Genomic DNA, 12,836 nt, shown 5'->3' with positions numbered 1-12,836 from the left:
TAGTGAACAGATTCGTTCTGCCTGCATGCTAGGAGCCAATGTGGCCATGGTGAGAGGTGAAGCCAGCTGGACTTCCTGGGTCCAGTGGAAACTTGGAGAACTTTTCTGTCTTGCAAGAGGATTGTAAAACGCACCAATCAACACCCTGTACCTAGGATTGTAAAAAGAACCAATCAGCACTCTGTAACTAGCAAGGGCATTGTAAAATGCACCAATCAGTGCTGTGTAAAAAGCACCAATCAACGCTCTGTAAAACGCACCAATCAGCAAGAGTCTAAAAGTAGCCAATCGCGGGGAGGATTAAAAAAGGGCACTCTGATAGGACATAAGTGGAACATGGGAGGGGACAAATAAGGTAATTAAAGCTGGCCACCCCCCAGCCAACAGGGATAACTTGCTCAGCTCCCTTTCTGCAGCTGCGGTAGCTTTGTTTTTTCACTCTTCACAATAAATCTTGCTCCTGCTCACTCTTTGGGTCTCTGCCACCTTTTCATAGAGCTGTAACACTTACTGTGAAGGTCCGCGGCTTTTTGAAGTTAGAGAAAGCACGAACCCGCCGGCAGTTACACAACCGGTTTTTGCTAAAGAAAAAAGATGTTATTCATGAGACTGCTGTGCGGAGATGGAAAAACAAAATTAAACTCTACTAACCTAAAATGGGCTTGAGAGTGCTTATGGGGAGAGTAAGTAGTCTGAAATGTGGGGAAAGGTGATGCAATCAGGATTTCTACCCAAGCGAAGTCAGGGTGCATGGTTTATCATAGAAACTGAAAGGTGACAGCATGCTCGCAGTCCTGAGCCCTCGCTTGCTCTTGGCGCCTCCTCGGCCTGGGCGCCCACTTTGGCCGCGCTTGAGCCCTTAAGCCCACCACTGCACTGTGGGTGTCCCTTACCCTGGGATGGCTGAGGCTGGAGCCGGCTCCCTCAGCCTGCAGGGAAGTGTGGCGGGAACCGGGGCTTCCGCGGCGTTTGCGGGCCAGCTAAAGCTCCCGGTGTGCGTGGGCTTGGGCCCCACAGGGAGCCGCCGGCCGGCCCTGCCCACTGGCTCTGCCGTCCCTAGGCAGTGAGGGGCTTAGCACCTGAGCCAGCAGCTGCGGAGGGTGCTTTGGGTCCCACAGCAGTACCGACCCAAAGGCGCTGCGCTCGATTTCTCCAGGCGCCTTAGCTGCTACCCCAGGGACTAGGGCTCGGGACCCGCACCCCGCCATGCCTGCGTCCCAGCCCACCCCTTGCCGTGGGCTCCTGTGCGGCCGGAGCCTCCCGAACGAGCGCCGCCCCCTGCTCTCCGGTGCCCGGTCTCATCGACCGCCCAAGGGCTAAAGAGTGCGGGCGTAGCAGGCAGCTCCACCTGTGGCCCCGTGTAGGAGCCACTTTATATCTAGCTAAGGGATTGTGAATACACCAATCAGCACTCTGTATCTAGCTCAAGCTTTGTAAATGCACCAATCAGTACTCTGTGTCTAGCTCAAGGTTTGTAAATATATTGATCAGCACTCTATATCTAGCTAATCTACTGGGGACGTGGAGAACTTTTGTGTCTAGCTCAGGGATTGTAAATGCACCAATCAATACCCTGTCAAAAATGGACCAATCAGCTCTCTGTAAAACAGACTAATCGGTTGTCTGTAAAATGGACCCATCAGCAGGATGTGGGTGGGGCCGGATAAGAGAATAAAAGCAGGCTGCGGGCGGGGGTGGGGTGGTGGGCTAGCAGTGCCAACTTGTTCGTGTTCTCTTCCGTTCTGTGGTAGCTTTGTGGTAGCTTTGTTCTTTTTGCTTTTTGTAATAAATACTGTTGCTGCTCGCTCTTTGGGTCCACACTGTCTTTACGAGCTTTTAACGCTCACCACGAAAGTCTGCAGCTTCCTTCCTGAGCCAGCGAGACCACGAACCAACCAGAAGGAAGAAGCAGTGAACACATCCAAACATCAGAAACAACAAACTGTAGCCACGTTGCTTTTAAGAATTGTAACACTCACGCGAGGGTTTGTGGCTTAATTCCTGAAGTCAGTGAGACCGAGAACCAACCAATGCCAGATACAGAGCCATGTGCAGAATAAGATGGCATTATCATGATCTAAGGGTGGAAGTTTTGGCTCTCTGATGTCACAGATTACCCACCGGCAGGGATCCAGTTCGTCTCTGTAGACTTGAATTGGACAAGAGCTGTTTCTTTAAGCGAATGTTACTATAGTGAGCTATGGTCAAGGCTGTGTTATCTGCAAAGAAGCCACTGGGGATTTTAAGGTCAATTAGAAGTAAGCAACTAAAAGCATGCAAGCAGGTTCAATTTGGTGAGCTTAATCAGGTTAGCTCTCAGTTTAACCATAAGATGATAGTACAGTATTGTGGCAGTACTTCTTGTGTGTTTAGTTTTGTGAGTTGTGGTCTGGCTCTGTCACCCAGGCTGGAGTGCAGTGGCGCGACCACGGCTCACTGCAGCCTCAACCTCCCAGGCGCAACCAATCCTCCCACCTCAGCCTCCTAAGTAGGGGGGACCATAGGCATGTGTCACCAGGCCTGTCTAATTTTTACTTTTTGTAGAGATGGGGCCTTATACTATGTTGGTAGGGCTGGTCTCAAATTCCTTGCTTCAAGCAATCCTCCCACCTCTGCCTCCCAAAATGCTGGGATTACAGGCATGAGTGACCAGGCCTGGCCGCACTTTCTATGTTTAGATATGTTTCAGTACACAAATACCAATGTGTTACAATTGTTTACAGTATTCAGTACAGCAGCAGGCTATACAGGTTTGTACCCTGGGAGCGGTAGGCTGTACCATGTAGCCTAGGTGTGTAGTAGACTGTACCATCTAAGTTTGTGTAGTACACTCCACAGTGTTCACACAAATTGCCTAATGACACATTTCTCAGAACATCTCTGTTGTTAACTGACACATGACTGTATTCATTTTAGCCAACTTTATTATTAAAAAACAACTGTATCCAAATTAATTGTAGGCATGGCAAGCTATAATAACTACTAGAATGGCCAACTTGAATAAGTCATTCTACAGATATTTGTTAAGCACCTATTATGTGCAAGGCACTCTGCTGACATATGTTAGCCAGGCTGCTGTTTTCTGCAAATAGAACAACTCTTTCAAATTTTATCTCTTCCTCCCAAACACTCTTCTGCCTCCATAATTTCAGTTTTCTAACTACATCTGCTCACTATTTGGTAAGGGGCAGCTGTAATATTTTCAACTCCTTTAGCATCAACATTACTTTCCCATTTAGCCTTTAATCTGATCTTGTGTGCTATTTATTGTTTGTGTATTTATGTTTGTGACTGTGTGTGTGTTACACTCAGAAACTGCCTTGCCTTTCTTCAACTCTGTACCCTTGCAGGGGAGGCCCTTAGAACCCCCTTGCTCTTTACGTTGCGGTGGGGCCAGTTTTGAAGATGGAAATGGAAGACTTAGGGACGTAGTGCCTACTAAGTACTTTCTCTTTCCCATATGTTGTTTCATTTGTTGTCACAGCGAAGCAGATAACTTCAATGAAAAGATCACGAACTTTGGAATCAGCAGACTAGAGCTGGAATCCTGATTATGCTACCTTACTAACCTATTGACCTTGGGCAAGTTACTTATGGACGTAAGATTCCTCGGCTGAAAATGGGTTCCTCATAACAGCCCAATTTCAGGTTGCTCTATGAAGGGTCCAGTGAGGCACCATTCATCAGTGCTTAGGAGGCACTTCATTTTGTTCTTACTCCCTTTTTCTGATGAGGAAAAGTGGAGAACATGAAATAGCGCAATATGTATGTTTTATAAAACTAATCTACGGCTCTAATGAGACTATATAAACTAAATGGGTATATTTCAACCATTTCGAATCAACTTTATTGCTCCTGGAAATAAATTTAGGTTAATTCTGGTTTTCTGTAGTTCCCTGAGGGAGTGCAACTTCATATATCCACAGTGTAAAATGACTTACTCTCAAAAGATGTTTGGCTGTGTCCTTCGAACAGATGAACGAACGTATGTTTTCTCCAGAGAAAACCAGATATAGATATTCCAATTCAACCTATAAGATTTAGATGTTGCCATTTACTATATAAAATATGCATTGGCCTAGGAAAACTAACTGAAAGCTTATTAAATTGTCTTAAAAATGCCAATAATATTTCCACCAGAGTATTTTTTCTTTCTCATGCATCTGTACTTTTGAAAGTCTCCAAGGAGGTAGACATGAGTATGAAATCACACTCCTAGCATGGGATGTGGCGTGGGGAATCGGGAGATGTTCATCAAAGAGTACAAAGATCCAGTTACAAAGGAGGAATATGTTTTTGGGATCTATTGTACAGCATGGTGACTACAGTTATGATAATGATTGTATATTTCAAAATTGCTAAAAATGTATTTGAAATGTTCTTACTACAAAAAAATGACAAGTATGTGAAGAATGGTAATTGGCTTGATATCATCATTCTACAGTGTATACGTATATCAAAGCTTCATCTTGTACCCCATAAATATATACAATTATTATTTGTCAAAAATAAAATAAAAATTTTAAGAAGGAATTGGCAAATGCGGCAAAAATGGCAACACAGAGGACATTTACCTTTGGGGTGCTCCCGTCTTACCTTCTATACCTTTCTCTTTGCTCTTACATTTTCCAGTCCCATCTTGTCATCCGTTAGTTCTCTGATCCCCTATTCTAAAAATCCCTGTAGACCCAGGGATTGCCCAACCTGCAGGGCTATGTCATTAGCCTTTTCCCCGACAAAACCTATTACTTATTTCATTTTGACTCTGCCACAGTTGGGAAAGCAACGGCAGACTAATTCATCTTATTGACTCATAAACAATTTACTTTATTATTCTTTGGGAGTGGGAGAAGAAAGGAAAGGTTGGGATATAACATTCTTTTTTTAAAATTTAATTTAATTTACTTTAAGTTCTGAGATACATGTACAGAATATGCAGGTTTGTTTCATAGGTATACGTGTGCCATGGTGGCTTGCTGCACCTATCAACCCATCATCTAGGTTTTAAGCCTTGCATGCATTAGGTGTTTGTCCTAATGTTCTCCCTCCTCTTGCCCCCCACTGCCTGACATGTCCTGGTGTGTGATGTTCCCTTCCCTGTGTCCATGTGTTCTCATTGTTCAACTCCCACTTATGAGTGAGAACATGTGGTGTTTGGTTTTCTGTTCCTGTGTTAGTTTGCTGAGAATGATGGCTTTCAGATTCATCCATGTCCCTGCGAAGGACATGAACTCATTCTTTTTTGTGGCTGCATAGTATTCCATGGTGTATATGTCACATTTTCTTTATCCAGTCTATCACTGATGGACATTTAGGTTGGTTCCAAGTCTTTGCTATTGTAAATAGTGCTGCAGTAAACATATGTGTGCATGTGTCTTTATAGTAGAATGATTTATAATCCTTTGTGTATATACCCAGTTATGGGATTGCTGGCTCAAATGGTATTTCTGGTTCTGGGATCTAACAGTCTTAATGTAGGCTGGTTGTGCTACCTTATTTTATCCTGACAACTGTATTAGCCCATTCTCACACTGCTATGAAGTACTACCTGAGACTGGGTAATTTATAAAGAAAAGAGGTTTAATTGGCTCATTGTTCTGCAGGCTGTACAGGAAGCATGGCTGGAGAGGCTTCAGGAAACTTACAATCATGGCAGAAGGCGAAGAGGGAGGAGGAACGTCTTACATGGCCGAAGCAGGAGAAAGAGAGCAAAGGTGGGAGGTGCTATGCACCTTTAAACAACCAGATCTCATGGAACTCACTGTCACAAGAACAGCAAGGGAGATGTCTACCATCATGTGGGTAGACTCCCAGTCACCTCCCAACAGGCCCCTTCTCCAACATTGGGGATTACAATTCAACATGAGATTTGGACAGGGACACAAATCCAAACCATATCAACAACCATATGCGTTATATATTTTAATTCCCTTATTACAGATGAGAAACCTGATACTTTAAGAAATAAACTTTCCTAAATAAGAAACTCATAAATGGCAGAAGTGAAATTTGATTTCAGGTTTTTAAGACCCCAGAGCATGTAGGCTGTCTACAGGTGTACTAACGGAGGGGTTTACATTCACCTGAAGACACAGCCTGGGCCACAGAGGTCGTGGAATCCCCACTGCAATGGCGGGCCATGGCTGGGATCTTACTCCTTATAGAGCCAACTCCAGATATTAGTAGAAACCCTTTTATTCCAGTCCCCCACACCCCATTTTAATTCAAGATATGTCCTTTGTTTAGAAATAACACAATGGGGGCAGGTTCCTTGACCTGCTATTGCTTTTCCTTGACTAACCAAGAATCTTTAACACATGGGCAACCCAGTGGGAGCACCCAAGACAGAGTAGAGACACAGGGTGTTGAGAATGCTGCTGAGGAAAGAGCAAAGTCTCCTGCAGTACAATACAGAAGCCTCAGCCTGCTTTGCAGTGGGCATCACAAAAGGCTCTGAGGTGCTCTCAGAGAAGCTGCTCTTTCAGTTGCTGCTTAAGGGTCTCAATGGCCAGACCTAGCTTAAGAAGAAAGAAAACAATAACTCTAGGCCAGTGCAGTGCCTCAAGCCTGTAATCTCAGTACTTTGGGAGGCCAAGGAGGGTGGATTGCTTGAGGTCAGGAGTTTGTGACCAGCCTGGCCAACATGACGAGACCCTGTCTCTACCAAAAATACAAAAATTAGCCAGGCATGTTGGCCACACTTATAATCCTAGCTGAGGATTATAAGTGTGGCCAACATGCCTGGCTAATTTGGAGGCTGGGACATAAGAATTCATTTGAACCCGGGAGGCAGAAGTTGCAGTGAGCTGAGATCGCCCCACTGCACTCCAGCTTGGGTGACAGAGCGAGACTGTCTCAAAACAAACAAAAAAATAAACAAACACTCTAGCGTTTTAGAAAAATGAACTGATTATAGATTCATAATGGGATAGGGAAAATGAGGGTGTTTGGAAAACAGTACAAATTTTTTGAGGTCGATGTTGGAGGTCACTGTCAGAGTGTAGACATGTAGACCATGAATCTGAACCAAATCCCAGAGTGAGAAGCCCCCGGCCTATCCTTCTCCACAATGCTCGCCTTAAATGACTTTTTAGTTAAACCATCTGGGGGTTGGGGGGTGAGTGGGATAAGAAGGGAAAAGAAAAGACGGGGGTGGGGTTGTGAAGTAGCCTGCTGTGCCATTTTAGTGTCAACATCTCAACTCCGCAGGTTGTTCGTGTTAAGATTCTGTGAAGCTACTCAAACAGATTCACACGGCAATAAATTAAATATTTCAACTTTCTTTCTCTTTGGTTTTTTTCTTGTGGCTGAACTGATGGCAAGCTGGGGTGGGGTGTGTGACTGAGTAAAAATAGGCTGCTAGAAAAGCCCAGGTATCTGTTGTAAGCCAGAGTACACTTTGTATCAACAAATGCTGATTTCTGGGGAGGCAAGGCCTGGGTGTTAATGTTTAACACTCCGGGAATTAAATAGGCAGTTTGGTTGTGACCTGGAATTTACTGCTGTCCTTTCAACCCTCAAGCAAATTAAGGAGAAACCTGCTGGACTTGCATCCTCAGTGGGAAAAAAGTAAAACACTGTCCAATGCCAGAGGGAGTCACCTTTTCAAAAGAAAGGGAAAATATCCCATCTACTGGTTGGTTGGTTGTCCTCTTCGAGTTCCATTTTTAAATGTTTACTTCACTTTATTCATGTTAAAAAAGAAACAAACAAAAGCCTCAAAAAAGGGGAGGGGGGAGGGAGGATGTGGTATAGGAAGATAAAGGGGAAACTTTATAAAGAGATACATCAACCAATTGCAATATGTAAGTCTTATTTTAGTCTACATTGAAATGACATATAAAAATAAATGAGGAAATAATACAAAGAAAAACTGTTTTTGAGGCAATGGGCAAATTTGGACACTGACGATATTTGAACATATCAAGGAATTAATGTTGGGTTGTTTGTTGTAATAACAGATAATAGTTATGTTTTCAGAAAGAGTCCAAATCTTTTAGAGATGCATAGAAAATAGTTTTAGATGAAATTATATAACATCCTGGATTTGCTTCAGGGTAACCCAGGGAAGAAGGGTGGTCAGGGAATGGCTGGAAATACACATCCAATGAGATTGGCCATAAGGGGATAATTGTTCAAGCTGGGGGTTCATTATACTATTCTTTCTCCTTTTGTATGAGAAATATTTTGAAATATTCCATAGTTTGAAATATTCCATATTAAAAAGTTAAAGGGAAAGCCCCGTGAGATCAGGCTGTGATCTCAAACAGCACAGCTGCCTTGACTAGAAGCATGCCATCTCTGGAGAAGTATCCCCAAAAGCCTGAGAAAACTTCCTCCTTTTAAAATTGCTTTTGTGTTATTCCCATGAACTCACTGTCTTGGACCAGAAGCAAACCATGAACAGTCCTTTTTTCAATCAATTCAAAGAAAATATGGTAGGAAGGAACTGAGCAGAAGATGAATGTAAATGAAAGGGAACTAAAGCATGACAAAGGCAATCTATAGCTAAGATGAAGATATTAAGTGCATTAGACTGCACAGCCAGCCATGTGCAGCCTGCTATGCCCAAGACCCCAGCAGCTGTCTCAACAAGAGCCACTATTCATGATATCTAGGCCAGGCCTTTGTGATGTTTGTGTCTTTGGACTGGTGTACCTTGGTACGTCATAAAAATCCAGATGTTTTTGCTTCCTGATTGAAATAATTCTTTTGCAACGGATTTTGTGGCAAGTTTTCTGAACAAGTACTATATATTTAAGTGGTTTACTGGAAAACAGCAAATGTGTCCTTCATGTCTTTGAAATACATAGGAAGCATTGGGTCAGGCCCCTTTTTATAGAATGACATCTTGAGGAAGATTCAGTTACATCTTTGGGCGATGACTCCAGGCTGCTTACAAAGGAGTGAGAGGGTTTTATCTCTATGTCAGGTAAGCAGAATAACAAGACAATAAAAGCTCAGGAAAGCCAAGGCTCCTGGGAGATACTGAACTTAAAGACCAGATTTGAAGAGCTAATGCTAAACAGAAACCGAGGAGCGTGTCACAACCCGGAGCACCGAGGACCGCTGCTAAAGAAGTTTCGAAGTAGTATTGTTTCTGTCTTAATTTGCAGGCTTGATCTCCTCAAAATAAAAAAGAAAGATGGAGAGACAGAAGAGAAAAGGAAAGACGGCTGTCAACTCGTGAATGCCTATGAGAGGAAGGCAGTGTGTCCCATCAAAGGCTTTGATGCTGCATCTTGACTTTTCTCCAAATCACTTCTCCAGTTCACTCCATCTACCACTTTCCTTCACCAAAATAAGCCTAAATATACTTCTTCTTCTACTATTTTTTTTTTTTTGACACAGAGTCTCACTCTGTTACCCAGGCTGGAGTGCAATGGCGTGATCTCGGCTCACTGCAACCTCTGCCTCCCAAGTTCAAGTGATTCTGCTGCCCCAGTTTCCTGAGTAGCTGGGATTACAGGCACCCGCTATCATGCCCGGCTAATTTTTGTATTTTTGTAGAGTTGGGGTTTCACCATGTTGGCCAGGGTGGTCTCAAATTCTTGACCTCAGGTGATCCACCCACCTTGGCCTCCCAAACTGGTAGGATTACAGGTGTGAGCCACCATGCCCAGCCTCCAAATATACTTCTAAATGAAAAAAGCAAACTGCTCCTTGAGCTGGCACTAGTGGGTAGTTTGAAAAAAACGGATGGGGAATTCAAGAATATAATTCTACTTCTCTTGGCATCTGGAGAAAAGATGTACCTGTATTATTTTTTAAGGTTCTTTAATTTTAAAAATAAACTTTTAATCTTACAGTTGTTTTGGATTTACAGAAAAATTATGATAGTGCAGACAGTCCTCATATGTCCCACACCTACTTCCCCCTACTATTTTTTTAATATGAAAAGACATTCATTATTCTGACTTTACTATATAACATGTTAGTGAACACCCCGGATTGCATTTTCTCAAATGGCAAATGAAGAACATTTCTCTTTGATTCCCCCGAGTACCTCAGTCATCTGCCTTTTAGAAGATCTAGTTTCTTGCAACATCTTTAATACTGTCCATGAGAATACCAACAGCGTGTAATACTAAAGAACATTTTGCTAAGTTGTTCTATCATGGGTCTTTGCTCAAGGTGTTCACCTTTTTCTTCCAATCTGGTTTTCAGCACTTGATCTTGTATTTCTTCATTATTGTGCCCAGGATGTGGTTGAAGGATGGGTTTTGTGTATTCATAGGGAATGTCCACAGGAGAGTGGTAGCAGGCTCACTTCCTGCCATTGGAAGTCACAGCAAGCTCTGTTTTGCAATTATAGTCATCAGGTAGAGAAGAATACATAGATTTATAACACACACAGTATAAAGCTCCATTTTGCATTGGAAATAAATGTTTCAAGACAATTTGCTTTACTGTCCTCTATTTTACTGCTGCTACAGCCATGGGGTATGGAGATGCTTATCAGGTAGTATAAACATCTTCGAAAAAGATGTTTTGAAGAGAGAATGCTTTGAAAATCTGCCTCTAGGCACACCAGTTTTCATCACTTGGCAGCTCCTTACCTCAAGTCCCCCCACTTGTTGCCCCCAATATTAACATCTTGCATTTGTGCGGTGCATTTGTTACAATTAATGAACCAATATTGTTACTATTCACTAAAGCCCATAATGGATTCATACTTTCTCCGTTTTTACCCAACGTATTTTTTCTGTTCCAGTAACCCATCTAGGATCTTACACTACATTTAGTTGTCATTTGTTCTTAGGTGCCCCTTGGCTATGACAGTGTCTCTGACTTTCCTTGTTTTTGATGACCTTGATGGTTTTGAGGAGTCCTGGTCAGGAATTTTGTGGAACTTCCCTTAATTAGAATTCAACGGATGTTTCTCTCACGATTAGGCTAGGGTTATGGGTTTTTGGGAAGAAGCCCTTTAACTCTTTCATCTTAGTGTCTGAACATCAGATGTTTCTTCCTTTGAATCTCTTCAAAGCCAAATGGCTTTGGGCAGCACAAAATACTCTGGGCACGTGTTGCTCTGTCTCCCTGCACATTTATTTGCCTTCTAGCACCTTTTGCTGTTTACTCTGCTAAAGAATAGAAACATATTTAAAAACTGGGAATGTACTTGGCAATAGCATCTGAAAGGTGTATATGAAACTCAAGTCTAATTATAGTTGTTATACAGGGAGATTTAAAAAATTAAACATCAGTAGTTGATTATTTTAGTCACACACATGTATGGTACATAAATTCTCTTTCCCTATCAAATAGGAGATCTAGATTTCTTTTTCTGAGATAATTTGTAGCCTTTTCCATTTATAATTCTAGTTGCTACAAGAATCAGCATCATCTTTAACAAGAGGGATTCATTATTAGAAAATTTAATAACATAATCCTTCATATTAAGACAAAGAGAAAAAGGTCATATAATCATCTTCACAGAGGTAGATAACGCACCTGATAAACTTAACACTTAAAAATATACATTGATGACTATTTTGTTTTTTAAATACGTATGATTATATATAATTACATATATCATTATATATGGTTATATATGGTACAACATTTACTGAAATATATAAATAATGTATACTTTATATTCATATGTGATTTTTAATATGTTATACATGTGATTATATGTCTGTGTGTGTGTATACTTTAGCTCAAAAGCTGGCATCTTATTTAACGTGATTACACTGGAGACTTTCCATTAAAGTGAGGAACAAGACAAAGGATAGCCATGATCTCCACTGCTATTTAATACTGGGCTGGAGGTCCTAGTCTATGCAATTAGATAAGAACAAGCAATTAGAAGAATAAAAATTGGAAAGAAAGAGGTATAACTGTCTCTGTCAAATCAATGTCAATATGTAGATGAGGGGTGTCCAATCTTTTGGTTTCCCTGGGTCACACTGGAAGAAGAAGAATTATCTTGGGCCATACATAAAATACACTAACACTAACAATAGCTGATGAGCTAAGAGGAAAAAAATTGCAAAAAAACTCATACTGTTTTAAAAAAGTTTACAAATTTGTGTTGGGCTGCATTCAAAGCTGTCCAGGGCCCTGTGTGGCCTGCAGGCTGCAGGTTGGCTTTAAGCTTGGTGTAGACCTTATCTGAATCCTGATTCAAACACAAAAATTGAAAAAAAATTATTTTTACAATGAAAAAATTTGAACATTGACTGGATTTTGGCTAATAGCAGACACTAGTGAATTATCGCTACATTTAAGTATGATAATGGCATTGCAGTTATTTTTTTTAACGTTCTTCTCTTTAAGAGATACATGACGAAATGTGTATAGATAAATAACATATGGGAGAATGTAGAATCTATATTATCTATAACTACCCCACAGATAAAACAAGATTGTCCATGAGTGGACAATTGTTGAAGCTGGGTGATGGGTCCATGGAGCTCATTATACTATTCTTCCTACTCTTGTATGTGTCTGAAATTTTCCACAATAAAAATTTAGAACAAGGTTAAAACAAATAAGGCAAAATAGTATCATGCATGTAATCTCAATGGTGGGTATATAGTCATTGTATTATTTTCTATTCTTTTTTATCTTTGAATTGCTCATAATTAAAATCAAAACAATTTACAAATATACAAATTATTTTGATTTTAATTATGAGCAATTCAAAGATAAAAAAGAATAGAAAGAATAGCTGTGCAGATACTTAAATTGAGGGAGGATTTTTTTTTAACTCTATAAAATCTTATTTCTTAAAAAAAAAAAAAAGAAAGAAAAAAAAAGGCCTAAAGTAAGTAAGTGTATTAGTTCGGCTTCACACTACTATAAGTGCCCCAGACTGGATAATTTATAAA

General features: G+C 41.2%; 1 pseudogene; it reads right to left on the bottom strand.

Moving 5' to 3' along the window:
- MRPL42P2 (mitochondrial ribosomal protein L42 pseudogene 2) lies at positions 9,887–10,579 on the bottom strand (annotated as a pseudogene).

The sequence above is a fragment of the Homo sapiens genome, chromosome 6 (genome assembly GCF_000001405.40).
Source record: "Homo sapiens chromosome 6, GRCh38.p14 Primary Assembly".
Taxonomy (NCBI): Eukaryota; Metazoa; Chordata; class Mammalia; order Primates; family Hominidae; genus Homo; species Homo sapiens.
This window is presented reverse-complemented; position numbering and strand designations above follow the sequence as displayed.